Source organism: Homo sapiens, chromosome 6, assembly GCF_000001405.40.
Source record: "Homo sapiens chromosome 6, GRCh38.p14 Primary Assembly".
Taxonomy (NCBI): domain Eukaryota; kingdom Metazoa; phylum Chordata; class Mammalia; order Primates; family Hominidae; genus Homo; species Homo sapiens.
Window position 1 is genome coordinate 161,225,511 of NC_000006.12, and position 21,877 is coordinate 161,247,387.

General features: G+C 44.2%; 1 protein-coding gene across 1 annotated transcript in view, besides 1 other annotated feature; it reads right to left on the reverse strand.

The window, feature by feature from the left end:
- The window catches only part of AGPAT4 (1-acylglycerol-3-phosphate O-acyltransferase 4), a 144,095-nt gene that overhangs the window by 95,544 nt on the left and 26,674 nt on the right, over positions 1–21,877 (reverse strand). Inside the window, exon 2 of the mRNA NM_020133.3 lies at positions 6,526–6,792. Within this exon, the coding sequence (NP_064518.1) occupies positions 6,526–6,703 (178 nt within the window). The 5' untranslated portion in view covers positions 6,704–6,792. The remainder of the gene's footprint in view (positions 1–6,525; positions 6,793–21,877) is intronic.
- Positions 871–1,176: a silencer, noted in NCBI's record as "fragment chr6:161647413-161647718 (GRCh37/hg19 assembly coordinates)". NCBI's record gives its function as "represses an EF-1alpha promoter that drives an FKBP-Casp9 reporter gene in an ReSE screen in HepG2 liver carcinoma cells {active_cell/tissue: HepG2}" and the evidence as "EXISTENCE:reporter gene assay evidence [ECO:0000049][PMID:32094911]".

Sequence of the window (21,877 nt, forward strand, 5' to 3'; positions counted from 1 at the left end):
TAACAATTCCCTGTCACTTCCTGAGGTCTCCCAGGAGATACACCCCTTAGAACTAGAAAAGAAAAGAAGGAAGGTTGCTTTTCGTCAGTTTCTGGAAGCAACCCCGCTAGCCCATCACTGGTGGAAGCAGAGGGATCTCGTGATGTGGAGCCGTCAGGGTGTGTGACTCCAGGTGAAGTCAGGCAGTGTTTGCTTGTTTCAGCTGTGCAGCGTGGACACACTTCAGAAGTAAAAGGTACCCGCAGGTGACAGAGGAAAAAGAGGAAAAGGTTGTCCCAACAGATAAACTCGTGGGCCGCTTGCTCAGTCCAGGAGGCAGGGCTTTGCCTTTGGGTTAGAATCTTAGAGCCACAGGCAGAAGGAGGCCTAGGCGGGTCTGAGAGGCTTTAAATTCCCTTCATCATGGGTCACGGGTCTTTTAAATTCCTTTCCATCCGACTTGACTCGCCAAAGCCACTGTTGTTCAGCTACTCTGAAGGGAGAGATGATCAGTTTTAGGATCATGTCCACCTACAGCCGGTTACTGAACCCTCTTCTGGGAAGGCGATCACCATCTGGGAACTGATAAGGATGACTCTTTGGACCTTCAAAGAGGGGACCCAAATTTGAGGCTGTGTCCTCCCAGCAGAGGTAGCCAGTAGGTCCTGCCCAACTCCACATTTTGACAGGCTCAAAGGCAGTGATATGAAGGGTTAGGACAGGGGCCACTCAGGGACACTCCCTTTCTGACATCTTGGAGCTGAGTAACTACCTATCAGGACAAGTGAAGGAGTCAAAACCTGTTTGGAACTCAAAGAGTGAAAACTCCTGCTTAGATTGAATTGAAATGAGAAAAAGCAGCCCTGTCATTAATCAGGCAGGGAGGAGAAGCATAGAGGAAGCCGGCTGCAGAGTTAGCAGAACAAACTGCTTCTCTCAAGGTCATGCAGGGGTTGGAAAAGCCACAGCGACACTCTCTTTGGGGGATCAACAGCTTTCTTATCGAGAACACCACAGACTTCCCTTGTATTTTCATTTGTGGGGTAGGGGGTGGCCCACACCCAGTTGTTGCCTGGTCAAGTTGACAAACATCAGGAAGCTGCCGCCCTCCATCTTCTCTCACTTCTCAGAGAGTCAGAAAGGCAGCCAGGCAGGGCTGGAGAGCTAGGTTCACTTTGTATAAAATTTTAACACATAGAATGAAAGCAGATGATAGCACATTGATGTGGCCAGGATTCCCCACAGAGAGGTTACCATAGAGGAGGCTCCTGAGAGGCCACCTTGCCTTCCCTGTGCTGCCGGGCAGGAGGGTCTGCAGGCAGAAGGAGTTTCCCCAGCCCAGCAATGACAGCAAAATGAAAGTGCTGGCCCAGCACCCACAGCATCATCCTGAGGCCATCAGAATGACAGCTGACCTCCCTCGGGGGAGCTCCTAGGCAAAGCAGGGAAGAAGAAGGAAGAAGGAATAGAAGAAGGAAAGATTGTTTTGTTTTACAGTTTGAAAATACAATGTGCAAAAAGTACTTTATGCATAAGGAGGGGGAAATTCAAATTCAGGCCTCACCTAGCAGGTCAGCTAGCAGTCACACACCTGGAGACAGTTTCCAGTGCTGGCAGAAAAGTGAATCAGTCTGCTAGTGTCTGGGATTAGAATGGCATACACAGGAAAGCCCACAAAATCAGCAGGTCGTATACCTTTCAGGGTGGAGATTCAGAAACACCGGCCTCTAGTAGGTCTCCTTTTATGACTCATGTGCCAAAGACTGCTCTGTCCCACTAGGTTGTCTTGTTAGGTTTTCAGACCTACCTGGTGACACCTTGGTCAATAAGCACATGAACAGATTCAAAATTGAGGCACCCTTACCCAGAGGAGGTGCTAAAGCACAAGCCCCCAACCCAGATGGAAGACCTGACTGCCTTTTTGCCCCAAGGCTCGGCTGGGTGGAATATCTGCTTCCTCTCGGGAAAGTAGAGTTGAGGACTCCCATTCTCCGTGGTCGTTAATTTCAGACAGGTTCTAGTAATCACATGACTTGCTCTGCAGTTTCTCCAGCAACTCGGAGCTCCCAACCCTCTTGCACGCACAGCCCTTGCTGCCGCTGTTCCTGACCTGTTACCAGGCCCTGATCCCATCTTCCAGATAGGAGCAGACCAACTTCTGCCAGGCCTCCTGGCCACTGCCAAATCCCTTCTCGAGTAGCAAATCTGAAGTGACTTACACATCCTGAAGTATGTTACAAATGTTTATTATTATTCCAGCGAGAAACAGATATCATTTTCACCACTACACGCAGTAGTGTTGTAAGAGGCAATATAGAGCTCACTCTCCTTTTTTGAGCGTTACACAAATACAGCGGCAAACACTCATCAAGTGTGGGATGCGGTGGGGGTGGTGAAAGGAAGTAACAACTTCCCAAGAGGAAAATAAAAAATTCTAAACCCTTTATTAGAAAACTATTGGAATCTTGGTCAACTCTATTCCATCCCCTTTACTTCAAATGTAGCTGAGTGTGTTGAAGTTACCTGTCCAAGTGATGAACCAATGGGAAGAAAGATCAAGACACCCTCGCCACCACCGGTCCCCCTGACTCTTCCTCCTCCCCTGGACACAAATTCCAATTTCAATCCTAAATTTGATGTGCTTTAAGGAATTTCTAAAGCACTTTCAGACGGAGTATCTCATTCTGCATTATGAAGCAACCATTGTAATTGGCCCTGTTATTTGGACTCAGAGAGTTTCTGTGGCTCGCCAAAGGTGACGCAGCCTGTAGCAGGGGAGGCAGGATGTGTAATTTTGCAGGCTGGTGCTCCAAATTCTCACTCCCTTCTTGCCACCATGTGGCCTTCCCCATTCAAGGAAGATGTGTAGCTGTGCATCCAACAGCCGTTTAAAACCATAAGCATCACAGTCCAGGAATATTCAGTGGCAGGCTCCAGCTCATAGAGCCTGTTCACAGCAACACTGAATTTGGACGCAGGGCGCCAGGGCTGGGGGTGTGGGGTGGTGGTGTCCACTGTGTTTCATTTCATTTTACTGGCCCTTTCCAGGACAATTAGGTCACTGGCAATCCTTCCCACCCCCTGCCTTTTTTTTTTTTTTTTTTTAACCCTGACATTAATAGATTCTCCTAATCTTTCTGTTTTGTTTTGAAACCCACAATGTCAGAGAGGTAAAAAAAAAAAAAAAAGCCAGTCTTGGCCACCTTTCCCTAGAGATTAAATGGCATATCCTGCTTAGTGGAAAGGCAATGAAATTCTACCCTTCACCCCACTTCTTCCAACTTTCTTCCTTCTTTTTACCTAACGAAGCCGGCTCCATCCTCCCTTCCTCCTTCAGCATGCCAAGCCAGCCTGACTTGGCCTTTCCTGCCTACAAATCTAGGCAAAAATAAGACAAAGCAACCCTCTAAAAATCATCCATCGAGATTACATTACTTTCAAGTTGTTATTTATGAGGTTGGTTGCTGCCACTAGAATAAAATTCTCTGCTCAGTGTCTCGGTGTGTCCTGCTGTTAGCCAAGCTGTCTTTACTGCTTGTTTTGTCTCTATTTGTCTTTTGTATCAGCATGGCCTTTTGCATGAGAGCTTTACCACGCCAGGGCTGGTAACTGCTTTGAACTTACTTGGTAACACACCAAGCTCTTAACAAATATTTAATGAGAAAAGAGACAAAGCCATAGCTCTGCTAGAGGAAAGCGAACACAGAGATGGAAGGGCTCCGTGTCTCAAGGAAACATTTTTTTCTGCCGTTTCCTTAGAAAATCAGCTGCAAATCATGAATGCTGATGACTGTCTAAGCTCAGAGTGACTCATACACCAGAAGACACAATTAAAGCCATGAACAGTTTCTATCTTAACTCAGAGGGAAGCAGAGGAGAGTTACAGCATAGACGCTGCAGAGTCATCTGCTAGTTAAGCTGCTGAATTCCCCACAAACTGTCTCCTCCTCTGGCTGATCAGTGGCCCAGCAAGGCTTCCTAAACACTCTTTTTACATGGCCTTGGTTACTGTGAAATAATTGACAGAGGAAGTCTGTCAATTATTTAGAGCAAGGAAAAGGAACCAGGAAAAGCGAACAGCCCTGCTAACACCTATGGGGATACCAGAAACGGAGAATCCTGGCGAGGATTCTCTCAAACCTGGGGATAGTTTGCACTGGCTTATCACCATGAGGTGCCCACGAGCCACCCAGGATCATCACCCTCCCTTTCTACTGTATTCTCTTTTTCCAGTAGCCAGGACTCCTCCTCTAGAGGGAGGAATCTTCCCTTCCCGCTTCGGATTGTTTAAAAATGCTTCCACTATCGCTTGGCCCAAAGCCCTAGGAAGCCTTCCTCCGGGGACATAGGCAAAGGTCATTGCTGGGGTGCATCTGGATGGAGGTGCTTCCTCTGGGGAAGAAGGCACAGAGCATCACTGGGTATACCTGGATGGAGGTGCTTCTAGGTCCTTCAGTGACATTAGACTACCTACCCTTCATTGCACCCGGCATTGAGATGCCAGTTGTCTTAGATGGTTAATTCTTGAGTTTCATTTGGAGTTTGTTCTAAATAATTTAATTAATTTGTGATGGATAAAAATCTGCCTTGCTTTCTGAATTTGTTGCCCATCTTAATTTCCACCAGAAACAAATACACTAATGCATCCTGAGAAAAATATCTCCACAATCCTGCCATAAACTTAGCAAGTCTTTACCATCAATCAAAAAAAAATATAGTACTCTTGTGGACTCTGATTCCAAATCCTGTTTCTTATTTCTTAACTCCAAATGAGAAATCCAATTCGTAACCATCCACTTGAAATTTGGGTAGGGGTTATGACAGTAGAAACATACAGGATTTCACACTGCAAACTAACAGATTTTGGAATCTCCATAGGTGTATGCAAGTCACATAAATGCAGGTTTCAATGAAAAAGCGTAATCAGTATTGCTTTGTTAAATTTAAATTCTGCTTAAATAGAGACCAACTGCTAGAGGGTAAAAAGACATTTAAAATTATAAACATCTTTTAAATCTCAGTCAACTGTCTCCTTTCCCTTGATTACACAAACTTATCTCTCTTCAAACAGCTACAGTTCCTGTCCAAATCATCTCCTACTGTCTCTGCCCTGTTTGGACAAGTTTTTCCTTTTTCTATACCACCGTAGAAGGGTACATACTTGGAGACCAATGTTGAGTGAAGTCTATGACAAGGAAAAGTACATTGTATCATATTGGATTGAATTGGTGGTTGTACCCAACAGGCCAGAGACAAATAGACTAAAGTTGCTGTTTTACAATTATAACTCAATCTTAGGATCTTATGAACACTTTCAAGACATATTTCTATAAAGCATTGTAATACAAGACATGGAAGCTCTTGCACTCAAACTATATCCAAAATAGTATCAGGCCTATTTGCAAGTTCTGAGTTGGTGAAAAAAGTCATAAATAAAGATATGTCTATGACTTTTCTTCCTTACAAGTTAGTATTCTGAAGTTTAACAAATAAGACTGGATAAGTGGTAATCCATTTGGATAATTATACATAGCTTGAATTGTCTTGATTCAAATTCAAATTTGATCATTTTAAAGGGTATCAAAAATATATCAATAATTTTAGACTCTTGGCATAATCTTAGTTGATGTTTTTAATAGACAAATTTTTAAAAAGCACATATTTTGAAATATATTCATACCCACATATATATATCATTATTAATATCACACTGCGTTCTCTACTTTTAAGAATAGGTATAGGCTTAAGGCTAATCAATATCAATAGCAAAATGCATTTCTGGATGTCCCAATACACTCACTCATCTTTTTAATTGTTGAAACTCAGGCCAGTCAAATTAGTCATGTATGAAATAACCTAGCATAATCAAACATACACGGACACATACACACACACAAATGAGTGTACTTAAAAGTGGAGAAATAGGAGTAGGGTTGTGGATTGTATCAATGTCAATTTTCTCATTGGAATATGCTATTCCAGTGGTGCAAGATGCTACCATAGGGAGAAACTGGCCAAGGAGTGTACAGAATTTCTCAGTATTATTTGTTACAGCTTCATGTGAATCTATTATCTCAAAATAAAAAGCTGAAGAAAAAAGGCAAGGAAGAAAACAATATAGTATACTGCCACTTAGTTTTTTAAAAAAAAATACGTATGTATATGTATCTATATAGATATATACACAGAAAGACGCACATGCATTTACAAGTATAAGAGCTATATGTATACTATTTCTGTAAGGATAACTAAGAAATCATTAATACTGATTGGTTCTGAGGAGAACTAAAGAAACTAATGGAATGCGTATTTACTTTTCATAGTATACCTGTCTGTGGCTGTTGAATTTTGAGCTACTGGCATTATTCATTCAAAAAATAATTTTGGGGGATTGAGAACAAAATAGCCATTTCAAACCTAAAACAAAAACAAAACAAAAAAACAGCTCGGCACACAACGAAAGCCTAGTGAATCCATATCAAGAGCCATAATTCTGATACACACATCCACAATGGAGACGAAAATATAGAATCTTAAGTATCTTACGGCTTGAGATGCAATAGGACAGTCTGCAGTTGATCTTCCGGAAGAGCTGCTTGTTAATGGGCCAGAGGAGGAGAGTGAAGAGCTGAATGGTGTTGATGATTAGCCCTGAGGCAATAAAGACGTAGCAGAAGACCAGGTGGCACAGGAACTGAGACTTCAGCAGTCCCGCGAGGTCCATGATGCGTGGACGCTCTTATTCAGAAATAAATAACTACCCACAGTCAAAGATTTCCAGAAGGAAGAAAGATCCAGGACTCAGGAAGGCGTCTAAAACACAAACAAATAGGAAATGTTAGCAAAAACACGATGTGCTTTTAGAGTCAGAAAAAAAGTGCTCTGAAAAGAAAAATATACACTTGAGGTTAAACTCATGTGCGTTAGTTGATTTATCTTTATTTTGCAAACATTGATGTAGTGCTTACTTCCTGTCGAGCATAGTCTAAGCCCTTTAACAATAATCCTTCCTTTAATTCTCCCAATATCCTCTGAGGTTGGTACTTTGATTTCAGATGAGGAAACTGAGTCCTGGAAGGTGGAGCCACTCGGCCAGGGTTCACCGCTCCCCAGCTGGGCAGCAGCTGAGCCAGCCACGGAGCCCTGGGTCCCACTTGAGTGACGGCTGCCCACAGGACAGGCCGCAAATCCGGCCTCCCCTCCTGCTGCCATCGCGGCCTGAGCCCCATTCTCTCACCCCTAGCCCCACGCCATCTCCCTCCTCTCATTCTCCTCCTCCAGATCCCTGCTCACCCCTCGCTTCCAGCAGGACTGCCCTAAAGTCAAGCCTGCCCTGGACAAGGACGAGGACATACCCAGAGTGGGTGCCACCCCTCAAGCAACCGGGACTAGGGAAGCATTTACTTGAAAACCACCACTGTTTCTCCAGCACATGAGAGCCATCACTGGCACAGGGTGGGAACTTAATTTTAAAAAATATTTGTAGAATGATTTAGTGAAGGTACACGAGGGCTCAACTTTGAGGCTATCAGTAAATACAAATAACTAGGAAGGTAAGAAAACTACCCCCACCACACCCTGGTCACACACACAGAGACACATAGACACACACACAAACACCACACACACACACACACACACACACACACACACACAGATACACACATCCTTAAGTGTTCTCAAATCAGAAAGAAACTCAACACATACATACAGTTAGACTCACAGTCCTGTAATCAGTCTCCAGCTCAAAACAGAATAATGAAATGACTTTACAGTTTGGGAAATAAAAGCTTTCCTTTGAGGAAAATGGCAGGAGTTTCAAATACTCTGATGAAAAGGAAAGCTGTGAGCAGCGGACTCGCTTTTCCTGGAAGCAGAAGAGCCTGGCAGACTACCCCAGGAAGACGTCTAATGTTACGACAAACTTTCTAACAATAATAGTTGAGAGGCCCTAAAATTGTTACAATCTTTTTTAATAATGAACAATCTGTATACAGATGGTCCTCGACTTATGATTCCACTGAAAATTTCCAGCTTTACGATGGTGTAAAAGCAATATCCATTCAGAGAAATTTTAATTCGAGGCCATACAACTCTTCTGTTTTTCACTTTCAGTACAGTATTCAATAAATTACAAGGCCTATTCAGCACTTTGTTATAAAATAGGCCTTGTGTAAGATGATTTGGCCTAACTGTAGGCTAACGTAAATGTGCTGAACATGTTTAAGGCAGGCGAGGCTAAACGATGATGTTTGGTAGGTGAGGTGCATGCAATGCCTTTTTGACCTACAGTATTTTCAATTCGCAATGGGTTTATCGGGATGTAATCCCATCATAAATTGAGGGGCATCTGTAAGAGTTTCACACATGTGATCTCATTTTAAGGCTCCTATGAATCCCACAAGACGAGTATTCTTATCATCCCACTTTTCAGAATAAGAAACTGAGGCAATGGTGAGGTTGGGCAACTTGCCTAAGCTTGCCACAATCGGTAACTGATCTTGGGGCTCAGTTTTAACTCCGAGCTCTTTCTCCTGCACGTGTCAGGGGTGTTCTGCTCCTGAGATGTGAGGCGGGAGGTCTCTTGGGCTCACAACTCCCTTTGGCAGAGCAGCCCAGAAATTCCCCCAAGGGCAGAAGACAGCACAGCTTTGAGTGCAGTCACTCCTGGGTCATGCAGGTTGGCTCTGAGGATGGTTTCGGGCATATGGAGAGTCACAGGGAGGCATGTTTGCACTTACTGGGACTATCCAGAAGGCAGGCTGCATTCCTGCAAGATTCCTATACATTTCTGATAGGAGGGAAATGGGAAGAAGCTTTCGGCCTGATTTCTCTGAAATCATCTTAGCTCCACTGAGACATCCCATTCTCTAGGCCCCAGAAGCTCCACTCTCTGGCACAAATCCAGGCCCTGCAGGGTCTGAATCATCACATCTCTGGCCTTTCGCAGACGGCATTTCCACAGATATTTCCAGGCTGGAAAACTCCTTACTGAGTTTCAACACTCCCAGGCTCCCACTGAGGAATAGGCGTTAAGCTGGCAGCCCCCGCTCAGTGCACTTGACTTTGGGAGCCACATAAATAGGAGGGGTTTACATGGGTTTGCAGCTTGGCAGCAGTAACAGTTTGATGTTGAATATTCATGCAATTTGTTCATTGTCCCCGGATTAGCCACTAATAGCGTCAAGACAATCTGGCCAGGCCAAGCTCGGTTTTTCACTAGGTTTCTGGGGTCTAGAGTTTGTAAATTACTTGACAAATCCTTTGCTTTGCCAATTCTACACTAAGAAAAGGAAGCCAGCTGACATCGGAAATGCAGGGGGTTAAATGCTGCCTTCTTCAGTGTCCAGTTCAATATTAGGGCATTAGGAAGAAAAATTAAGAATTCTTTTTTCCTTATAAAATTTCAAGGTAAATTGAAATTTTACCGTGCGTAAAACCCTCACTAGCAATGCATGAACCAGGGTCTCAGATAGCATTGGTGAAGTGTAAAGAGGAACCCCAAGCAGATGAGCCTAAAGAGAAATCAGACAAGGCTTGGTTTGTTTTGGGTCTTGAGTTTCAGCTCCACTTCTGTCCTCAAGGCCCATTTCCTAGCCTGGTGTGGGGTGGTTGCATGTGGGCTTGAGAGTTCAACTGCCCAAGTTTGCAGCTCTGCCCTGTCTCTTATTAGTTGTGTATTGGTACCCTATTTTGGGCACATTAACTATTCTGCACCTCAGTTTTTCTATCAGTAAAAAGGGACAACAGATTCTAATCAAAATCCCAGGGAGGCTATTGCTTTTTAATTTCGTGAAACTTAGGCGGATTCTCAAATTTATATGCAAACGCCAAAATAAGAATAGTCAAGGCATCCTCTGAAGAAGAAGGTGAGAAGTGCTCGAGTTGTTAAATAATTTAACTGACTTTAGAATGAGGGCTGATGATTAAAAGAAACGTGGCTGAATTATGTAGGGGTGTGTCTGGAGGACAAATGTGTGACATACGTCTTAAGTTCATTCCAGATAGACGTTTTGGGGACCCATCTGGATTAGTCCATTCTCGCACTGCTATAAAGAAATACCTGAGACTGGACAATTTATAAAGAAAAGAGGTTTAATTGGCTCATGGTTCTGCAGGCTGTACAGAAAGCACAGTGGCTTCTGATTCTGGGGAGGCCTCAGGAAGCTTTTACTCATGGCGGAAGGCAAAGGGGGAGCGGGCATCTTACAAGGCAGGAGGAAGAGCGAGAGAGAGAGAAGGGGGAGGTGCCACACACTTTTAAACAACCAAATCTCAAGAGAACTCACTCATTATACGGTACCAAGGGGGTACAGTGCTAAACCATTCATGAGAACTCCGCCCCCGTGATCCAATCAGCTCCCACCAGGTCCCACCTCCAGTGCTGGGGATTACAAATTCAACGTGAGACTTGGGCAGGGACACAGATACAAACCATATCAGCTTCTTTCCCATCTTGAATAAAACAGCACTTTCTCTTCTAACGTGGCAATTAGCCAATTTCATGTCATGCCGAGGAAAGATGGTATAAATATCTGGCCAGCGATGAAAATAGCTGGAGAGAAACATTTTAAAAATACTTTGCCTAGTTCCCTTTTAGCTTTGCAAGTACCTAGAATGTGACGGAAAGAGTCTTTCCAGCAAATCCACTTCAGTGGCTTATTACATGAGGCAAGAATATGACAAAGAACTTATGCTGTTTCTGAGCATATCAGAGCGCTACTTACAGAGTTTCTAAATCAACAGAGAACTAGGAAGCTGCTGCTATGCCATATTTCTGCGAAAAAAAAAAAGATGTTTCTTACTATCAAGGCCAAAAATGATGAACTCGTGTGCTTGACAAAGTAAAGATGATGTATTGCCTTTTTCTGGGTTTTGGTACTCATGAAATGAAACAGCAGGTGTTTTCCCATCAGTGAGCTCAGAAGCAGCGTTTAACCTTTACTTTTTCCTGAAATTCACCCCATGACCTTGAGACACCCTAGGGATGGGAGTGCAGGAGGCCAAATTCTACTGGGAATTCTCTTTCAACAGGTTCACACAAAGAAATCTGGCCACAGAGGCTGGCACGGTTACCTCTGGGGGCAGACAAGTGACCCGATGAGGGCTTAAAGCAGTAAAAGGAAAGGGGAGGCCGGGAGCAGTGGCTCACACCTGTAATCCTAGCACTTTGGGAGGCCCAGGTAGGTGGATCACTTGAGGTCAGGAGTTCGAAACCAGCCTGGTGAAACCCCATCTCCACTAAAAATACAAAAAAAAAAAAATAGCTGGATGTGGTGGTGGGTGTCTGTAATCCCAGCTACTCGGGAGGCTGAGGCAGGCGAATCACTTAAACCTGGGAGGCAGAGGTTGCAGTGAGCCGAGATTGTGCCACTGCACTCCAGCCTGGGCGACAGAGTGAGACTCCATCTCAAACAAAATAAATAAATAAAAGGCAGGGGGAGGCTTCTCTCCAGATAATGAGTCCCAGACAAACCACAACCTAGTGAACTAAGGCAACATGCAAAAGGGATCGCGGAAACACAAAGACATTTTTAAATCATACAGAATAGGAAAAATGCCAGGAAACCATATCCGGATACATTATTGGAATTTTCCAGAAGGCCGCATCTGACCCATGAGCTCAATATGCATCACCTGAAAATGACTGCACCAGCGTTTAAAACATAGACAAAAAGCAGTTGTCACTAGGAATCACAACAGGTTCAAGGAGACATAATCTAATCCAAATTACCTTTATTTCCCAGGCCACTGGTAGATTAGTAGATATTGAATTTAGCCAATCATTTGGCAAAGTCTCTGGCAGTCCTCAAGGGCACATACTGAAAAAGTGTTGGCTATGAGTCTGTGTGAAAGGAATTCATGGCTATTTGAGAAAGTAGGTAACCATCATTAACATTAGCAAGGTTTCTTACTGAATACCAGAAGAAGTCTCCTTCAGCACCACTTGGATGTAAAAACTGAGTCATTCGTATAAGGATGGGAGAGACAAAGGGGGTTAAATACATAGGGGATGTTGACTATAAGCCAACAGTGTACCAAAGGGGTTAAGTCAGCCAGTATAGACCTTTAGAGAATATTAGAATACACTGAGTGGGAAAAGTTCACAAAGAAGTATAATTCTTAACTGTAAAATAATAATGTGTGCATATATGTCATTCATACCTAAATCTATTACTATATCTATAACTATCTATTATTAGTGGCTAAATGTTGGCAGAAGGATTATGGCTGATCTCCTTTTCTTCTCTGTGTTTTATCATCCTTTTTTACGACGAGAATGAAATCCACCCCATTCTGAGCACAGAACTGGACAGACTCCATTTCCCAGCCCCCGTGAAGGTTAGGTGTGGGCAGATGATGGGCATATGCCACAAAAGTGAGATGCCTGCAAGTCTCTGAGGGAGAAAGTTTACACTGCTTGCTAACTTGAGGAGGGACCACAGGGTTGGCATGCTCTATTAAAGTCAGCAGAAAGGTGATCAACCAAAGCACCAGACAAGAGAAATTCTGAAATGTGCAGGCAACGCGAGACCACCTGGAAGCCAAGCACTGCTGTGTGTTGGGGGGCTGGGGGTGGGGGGGTAATGGGGGGGTTGGGGGGCGGGAGGCAGAATGCAGCATAGTTGTTGGAGCTTCCGCTGTGGAGAGGGCACTGAGAGTCAGGCAGTCTGGCTACAAATCCAGGCCTGGCCACTTTACAGCTATGGAAGTTGATTAACTTACTTGGCCCTCACTTTCCTCGTGTGTAAAATCAGAGCAATAACTTCAGCATGAGGTGGCTGCAAGGAGCAAGTATAGTAAAGCATTGGAAACACTTGCCAGGATGCCTGGAACGGGGAAAACCCCAAGTAATGGGGGATTTTTCTATCATTTGCAAGAAGGCAAAGAAGGAGCAGCTAAGACAGATGACTTCGTCTCTCCTGGGAAAGCCAATGAGATGGTCGTCAACTCAGTTTTCCTTCTCTACCTATCTAGATCAAGACATTGTCTTTAATTTACCTGTAATGTGTTAAAGCATCCTCCCCCATATGTTTTCATTCTAACCTATACTTTTCTGCTAGTGACTCAGAAATGGGAAATAATGCAGTCACAAGCACTCACGTGTACTTTACCTTCCTTAACTATGTAATCTTCCCAAAGCGTGGGATGGAGATGAGGTGATAGGGTTTGGCTGTGTCTCCACCCAAATCTTACCTTGAATTGTAGTTCCCATAATCTCCACATGTCGTGGGAGGGAACCAGTGGGAGGTAACTGAATCATGGGAGTGGTTACCCTGATGCTGTTCTTGTGATCGTGAGTTCTCATAAGATCTGATGGTTTCATAAGGGGCTTTTCACCCTTTTGCTTGGTGCTTCTCCTTCCTGTCAGCATGTGAAGAAGGTTGCGTTTGCTTCCCCTTCTGCCATGATTGTAAGTTTCCTGAGGCCTCTCCAGCCCTGCAGAACTGTGAGTCAATTAAACCTCTTTCCTTTATAAATTACCCAGTCTCGAGTATGTCTTTATTAGCTGTGTGAGAATAGACTAATTAATACACATAAGAATATGTTAAAGTGCAAGCGAGACAAACGCTCTCACTCTAGCACTGAATTTCTCAGGTACCATTTCTACCATGAAGTTCTACAGACACAGACAGCCAGGCATACACACTCCAGCACAGCGTTTGGTCGATGGGACTGCTGAAGTGAGTTATGTACGGTGTAAGGCAGATGGTACCATATGCTGCCCAGCCTATGTTGGTGAAAACATAAGCAAATGAAAGAAAACTCAGAATTTCCCCATGAAAGAATCCAAACCGCATCCTTCTCTATACAGAGAGCTGTCAGTTTAATGCATTAAATTAGGCAACAAGATATCCTTAGTTAAGACTTCATATTCTGTCTTATTCAAAATTCTGAAACTATTAAATAAGCATGAACTTCAGTCATACTCAGGAAGACAGGCTAAACCTGAAATGGGATTAACTCCGCCACTAGCTGGATTTAAAAGGTATTTATTTGTTTGTTTTTAATATAGATTCACATTGCAGCACTCAACCAGGTCAGGGTTGTAGAAAAGGCAAAACTTCCTTTCTTCCAAAGAAATCAGTCCAAGAAGAATTGCTGAAATAATGCTCCTGCCCACTTTAGCATTGTCATTAAAATCTAAACATCTTATTGAAGCTCTTTTGACCTCAAAATCCAGAACATACAAAAAGAGATCAAAGAAATGAATGCAAATTATTTTATACTACTTTTTACATTCCAAACTAGGCTTTTTGTTTTTAATGATAATACTCCATTCTACAGAGATGAGGTAGAATGGGACCCCTAGCCTCAGTGTGAGTACAAATCCATCTTTTTAGTAAGCAATTTCACACACATATTAGGGCCTTAAACAGCTTCATACCACTTAATAGTAAACCAATTTCTGGCTATCTTAAGGACAAAATTAACTTTCAGAAAATTCCCTATGTATAAAGATATTCAACCACTACTGTTTCCAATGCCAAAAATTAGAAACAATTTGTATTTCTGACATAAGGAAACAAAAAACTGAATTATGGAAGACCCACCAAATGGAATAGGTGAAGTGTCACTAAAATAGGTTTGCAGTAAAATGGATACATTTTCATTATGATATTAAGTGACAGGATACAAAATCATGTGGAGAAAATAATCACAACTCTAAAAAAAAAACCGGAAGAAAAGAAAGCCTTACCAAAACACTAACAGCAGATATCTTTGTGTATACACACACACACACACACACACACACACACACACACACACACACACTTAAACAAGTCTGTCCACCTGGAAGCCTGGGCTGGGTTCAAGACTACAGCTTCAGCATCTTTATCCTTAGGAAGAAACTGACAAGGTGCACTCCAAGATCCCTTCCAAGTCAAACACACGGCTGCCCTCCCAAGGCAAGCTTTTTCCTCTATGCCACTGCACTCTTCCTGAACAGTGATTAAGCGATCCAGCTCTGCCACTCTTCCCCAACTCCCATCTACAGAGAAGATTCCCAAGTGGCCCAGGTTAACCAGACAAATAAAAGAAAATAAAAACTTCAGGGACTGGCAAAGAGAGCAGCACAGCTAAAGTGGGGACAGCTGGCAGATTGTTTCTGAACCAATATTTCGGTCTCCAGGACACAGAATCCCCAGGTACTGCGGTGCCCACAGAGGAGAGGGGAGTGGATACAGTCCCAGGAGAAAGGAGGGAGCTGGTGTCCAGCACACACTACATTCAGATTGCCAGCACTCCTTCAGGTCGGATGAATGTGGCCAAAGTCTCCACCAGGGCGGCAACTAACTTGTACAGGTCTGAGGAACGTGCTCTGTTCTCACTCCTGGCAGACAAGGCTGGGTTCAGTTTTGGCTCCCTTAGAGTTCAGTTGGCCTAATTCCTACAACCAAACAGGAGAGAAAGTATTCTAGACTGGATTTAACTGTCTTTGGGACGAGCTCTAAGTAACATAGTCCTCAATTAAAAAATAATCATCATCGGCCAGGTGCAGCGGCTCACACCTGTAATCCCAGCACTTTGGGAAGCCGAGGTGGGTGGATCATGAGGTCAGGAGTTCGAGACAGCCTGGCCAACATGGTGAAACCCCCATCTCTACTAAAAATACAAAATTTAGCTGGGCGTGGTGGCAGGCACCTGTAATCCCAGCTACTTGGGAGGCTGAGGCAGGAGAAATGCTTGAACCCAGGAGGTGGAGGTTGCAGTGACCCAAGATCGCGCCATTGCACTCCAGCCTAGGCAACAAGAGCAAAACTCTGTCTCAAAAAAAAAAAAAAAAAAAAAAATTATCATCATCTAATGGTATGGCAGAAGCCTATACAAAATTCATGTATTTTAAAATTTCATAGAACAGTCCTTTGTCCAGTACATGATGTCTGTTAAAACAAACCAAACTCTGAAGAAACCATAAATCATACTTAACTTTTTCACTATGTCCTCTAATAACTAACCTTTAGTCCCTCTTCAAAGCCCCACTCTTGCATGATAAAAAGTCAGGTCTATGGAAAAGTGATGCTTCTAAGTTCATATTTAATAGTTGGTTCTGAGTAGCTTGTGAGAGAAAAACAAATTGGCAAGAGCTTTTATACCTAGTCCACAGAAAGCTAGACTCAGAAGCAAACACAGATGGAAAACCTTGGTAACTTATTCTGTCATGAGAAGTAAGGCAGAAGGAAATTAAGTGTTCTCTAAGGCTTTCCGTAGCTTTAATTGCTATGAGATGAAAATGTTTTTGTTTTTGTTTGTTTTTGAGATGGAGTCTCCCTCTGTTGCCCAGGCTGGAGTGCAGTGGCACAATCTCGGCTCACTGCAACCTCCGCCTCCTGGGTTCAAGCAATTCTCCTGCCTCAGCCTCCAGAGTAGCTGGGACTACAGGCATGCACTATCACGCTCGAATAATTTTTGTAATTTTGGTAGAGATGGGGCTTCACCATGTTGGCCAGGCTGGTCTCGAACTCCTGATCTCAAGTGATCCGCCTGCCTCAGCCTTCCAAAGTGCTGGGATTACAGGCGTGAGCCACAGCACCTGGCCAAAAATGTTTACAGTTAAACATCATAGGGCTTCTGAATCATAACCAGTGCAGCAGCATCAGTATAAAAAATGTTTAGCATATATTATCCCATTAGTTCTCACAAAAACCCACTATGAAAGGTATTGCCATTCTCACATTATAGATGCGAAAACCGAGGTTTAGTTAGAGGAGGTGAAGTGTAAAGGGCTAATGGTGAGTAACTGTGGGGGCCCGGCCTGGGCCAGTCTCACGCTTTTAACCAGTCTCACGCTCTTAATGCTGCCTATAAGACAAGAAGCCCAACATGATAGACTTCATGAACTTCAGCCTTCCGGGACGCCTGGGATTTCAGTCCATGGTCTTGTTTCTGACTGTTGGGGTGCTCATGAGTATTTAAGCGACTTCCCTTTCACAGTCAGTCCTGGGGAGCCTCAGTGGCACCTTTTCTCCAAGTAGAAGGCCACATCCTCCAAACCCCATCCAGCTCGCCCGCAGCCTCATGGGGCTGGAGGGTGCAGACCTCAGAGTAGGTACACATTCTGAGGGTGCCAGCTGGCTAGATGCATTTCCAACAACCGAGGGTGTATGAGCTATTTTAAACAATGCTCAGCAGAGGCATATTTTAAAATTATGCTCAGTCTGTGAAGTCTCCAAAAAATTTTATCAACTCCTGATGAAAAATCCAATATGATAAATCCAAACAGAAATGAAAAAAATTAATCTTCCAAACAGGGGAAACGTCCACAACATTATATTCTGGTTAATAAGGAAACCTAGGCCGGGCGCAGCGGCTCACACCTGTCATCCCAGCACTTTGGGAGGGGGTGGGTGGCTCACCTGAGGTCAGGAGATCGAGGCCAGCCTGGCCAACATAGTGAAACCCCGTCTCTACTAAGAACACAAAAATTAGCCGGGCGTGGTGGCACGTGCCTCCCAGCTACTCGGGAGACTGAAGCAGGAGAATTGATTGAACCCAGGAGGTGGAGGTTGCAGTGAGTGGAGATTGCGCCACTGCACTCCAGCTTGGGCGACAGAGCCAGACTCTGTCTCAAAAAAATTTTTTTTTAATTTAAAAAAAAATGAAACTTTTTCAAACATGGAAAGAAGGCAGAATGCATGTTGAAATTGTCGATTTCATCATCGTCATTGCTGCTACGTGGCTGTGGCTGTCAGCTCAATACTAAGCCTGTGAGGGCTGGAACGACATGGGAGCTGGGGACAGTGAAGGGGCAGCTCTCCCCTTGGGGTTACCAAAGTAGGGAAATGGCCCAAGACCCGGCCCTGGGCCGGCAGAAGCAGGCGTGAGGTGGCTGGCATCCCCAGCCGGCACTAAAAACAAAAAGAGAGAGCTTTATTCAGCACCTAAACCACCTCCCACTCTACCCCCACCGTCACCAAGGCAACGTGGTCAGGACTGGCAGCTCACGTCAGAGCCTCGGCCATCCTGCGCACTTGGCCCACCACAAGGCTGTGTGCCCAGAGCCTGCAGGAGAGGCGCTGTTTCCTAGCTGTGCAATCTTGGGTCAGTAGCTTATGCTCTCTGAGCCTCCGGGTCTGTATCTGCTAATGGAGGTGAAATTCCCTGCCTCCCACCGTGCTGTAACAATTACACACAGGAAGGCAGAGAAACAGCACAACAGCTGCAGGAAGAACCCTCAGTCGAAGCCCCTGCCTCTCTCCCGGGCTGACCGGTCTCCTCCTTCCCTTGACCCCTTCTCCCTGGCCCCCAACCATCACCAGCTTTTCTTACTCACTTCTCCACTGTGGCTCTCATTATCTGTTTGTTTATTTCAATAAGATTTTCCTCAGGTGGACATTTTTAGCCTGACAACCACTCATCTCCAGGGTGACCCTGAGCTGAAGTGACTCCTAAGATCCTCAAAGCCCACTCACAAGTTTTAATGAAATGATTATGTCCTTATTCCCAGCCCAGAGGAAGGCAGTTCAAAGTCATTGGTTTTGAGGCTCTCTTCCTAATAACAAGTTAACTGTCAATTCCCTACATAAATCTCATTGAAGAAATGAGTTGAATACTCGATGTAGGCCTTGTTTCCACCTTGTGGAAGGGAAATAAAAACTGGTATTGAGAAGACCAAGACCCTCATCACTTTGGTGCTCTCTGAATGTACCTGTGTTTTCCTGATCTCAAACAGACATACAGCGAGGAGCTGACGACACAATTCTAACAAATACAGAAGACGCAAAGAACAGGTAGGTCACAGTGCCGTCTGCCTCCCGCAAAGAAGCAGGAAGTCTTCCGGGCAGGGGTGAGGATGGGGCTGACACCAACGCAGACAGCACGTTCCTACATCACCAGCAAATCATGGCACCAAAGAAGACTTTTTAATAAAATCTGATCTTTAATATTTCAAAATACGACAAAAACAAATAATAAAAAGCCTTTAAAGTTAAGGTTTATGGCGAAATTTAAAATGTTGGCAGTTTCCTTAAGCTTATTTCATCATTTAGTATTTTCATGTTTAATAACCATTGGGGAAAGGGTTACAAGCGTAATCTTTTCAGTATTTCAGCACTCTACAACCTTTAAGCTGGCTCCATTATGGCTAAACAAACTCACATTTTGATGCTGTGTGAGCAGACAGGCCAGGAAACCATGAGGATAATAATACTGAACCACCAAACAGAGATAGCGAACTGCATTCTCTGACATCTCCGATCCAGTAAAGCCGACAAGGGTGCACACATCTCTCCCTTTGGTCTGGCCTAGCCCACCTACTCTGCCTGGGTCAACTGATCCAGTAAGAGTGATGCCTTCCACCACTTAGCCTAGGATGAAACACTGTCTTTGGCCCCCTGAGCAAAGCTCCTAATCAGTGAAGGTCACCAACCACAGACAGATGGGCCAAAACCCCAGGCCTGGGGAGTCCCAGTGTCAGAGACAGGCTATCTCAGAAAACCAAGGAGATGCGAAGTGATAGCAACCAGAGCCAAAGGCCACGTAGCAAAACACGTGGGCATGAGAACTCTCCTGCAAATGCTAACTTAATTTCGCACACATGCCTACTAGCAAGCCGTGCACCAACTGGCAACTTATTTTGCAGTGGCCTATGCCAACCAGGGTAGAAACCTCCTTGGGAATCGAGAAATTGCGACTCTATTCATGGTGGAATAAATAAATGCAGCAGGGGAGGTAGCCAGTATTTAGAGTCAGGGGACCTGAGTGTGATTCTTGATCGTTGATCCTCATCCCTTTGGTCACGTCACCTCTGCCATGCTCAGCTTCCTCCTTTGTCAACAGGACGTACTGACATACACGCCGGCCCCACAGGGGTGATGGGAGACTTCAGGAGGTGATGGATGTGGAAGCCTTCTGCAGGGCAGATGCTTAGGCATTGGATATCAGTCCCAGTTTTATGGTTCTGGAAAATGGGAAATGGGGCCACTTGTGCACGTGCCTTTAACCACAGTGCTTCTGATTCATGGAAACTAACGTGGCATTAAGCACCCTAGAGGGATCGCCAGGAGTAGAGCTCAGAGGAAGCACTCTGCTGCCTCTATAGTGGCCACAGGAGCTTACTTTTTGTGGGGTGGTTCAGCGAGGGGCTGCTCAGGGGAGCAGTTTAGGGGGACACAAGCAAGTGGCCGTTCATTTTCTTCTGCATCTCAGATACCAGAAACTGGGCTCTTTTCTCTTTGGTAGGCCCCTCCCTCTCCTACTCACTGTCCGTGAAGTGCCCTCAATCCTTGAGTTCTTGGAGATCCTGTCATTGCCAATCCTAGTTTCTGGTAAGGAGTGCGAGGAAGGCGGGAGAATCAATATGGCTGGATTTTAAATCTCTCATTTCTTTGATTTTCATAAAGGATGCCAAATGAACCCAGGCAACTTCCCCAGTTTGATTCATGCATAATGGACCTGAAGAGAGACTTATTAGAAAACAAATGCACTTAAATGCTTTTCTGACATGAATCATTTATTGAAGACAGAATTGCTGGCTTCGAGTGCCCAAACTAAGTTGACATGCAGTATCCTTGTTTCTAGATAGCTCTGAAAAATGGCCACAAGAATACTGAAGTACTTGGATATGAAGGATGCCTTTGAGGGCATTACAGACTGGCTATTCCTCGAAAAGTTTCATTAGCAGCAGCAGTGATCAAACATGTGTCAGGGCCTTCTCTCTCTTCTTACTTCAGTCATCAAGCTCAGAGCAAAAGATGCTTGGAGAAGTGATGAGGTTCTTTCCAACTTTTAAGCAGAATCCAGGACAGAGTTGTTTAATTCACGCATACATTCATTCGTCCACTGAGAAGTATATTCATTCATTAGGTTCCCATCCAAGGAGCTACCCGTTCATTCATTCAGCTAAAAATTCATTGATTCATATTTAAGTTCTACTATATACTAACATTGCATTAGACTTCTGAGCATAGGCACAGGGGATTCTTTTTTTTTTTTGAGACAGAGTTTCACTCTTGTTGCCCAGGCTGGAGTGCAATGGAGTGATCTCAGCTCACTGCAACCTCCGCCTCTCAAGTTCAAGCGATTCTCCTGCCTCAGCCTCCCGAGTAGCTGGGATTACAGGCATGCGCCACCACGCCCAGCTAATTTTGTATTTTTAGTCTAGATGGGGTTTCTCCATGTTGGTCAGGCTGGTCTCGAACTCCCAATCTCAGGTGATCCACCGCACCCAGCCTAGCACAGGGGATTCTTACAGAGCCCCTTGCTAGGTTTTAAGTGGTAAGTACCATGCCCAATAAACTAAAGCACTTACTGAGTAATATACCCTGGGCCGGGATGACTTCCACCCCTTCCACTTCTTACAGAACAGATGCTCAATAAATACTGATTCCATCTGAGTCTCTAGATGACCTAACATAATTTAATTTTCATAGTGGTAACACTGAACTGTCAAAGACAAAGCAAAAGTAAGAGCATAAACTGATAAAGTCCTGGGCTTCTTTCCCATTAACATTAAACACAGGGCAGATGACACACCAAGTTATTCTCCCTGCAAAATCCACGCAGATGAACCCACAAGATTGCTCTCCATACCTTTACATGCTGTAAGCAGCCAAGTTGAGTCCTCTTCCTACCAGCACTGAAACTGCATGAGGCTATATGTTAAACTGACATGAAATTACTCAAATAAAAGCAAATTACCTGCGGAATCCCCTGTAGAGGAGGAACTCAGATGTCGGTTGAGGAACACAGAGGTGACTTTTTTTAAAACAAAGAATCTTCTGTTAAAACACAAATCCAGTGAAACTAAAGGAAATTATACTAGCCGTGTAAATCACTTAGGCAAAGCCAGGAATTTCTTGAAAGGTAAAGTCACTCCATTATAACAGTAATTCATTATACAAAATGCATACAATTCTAAAATGCAGACATTTTACCACCTAGAACAGCTATTGAC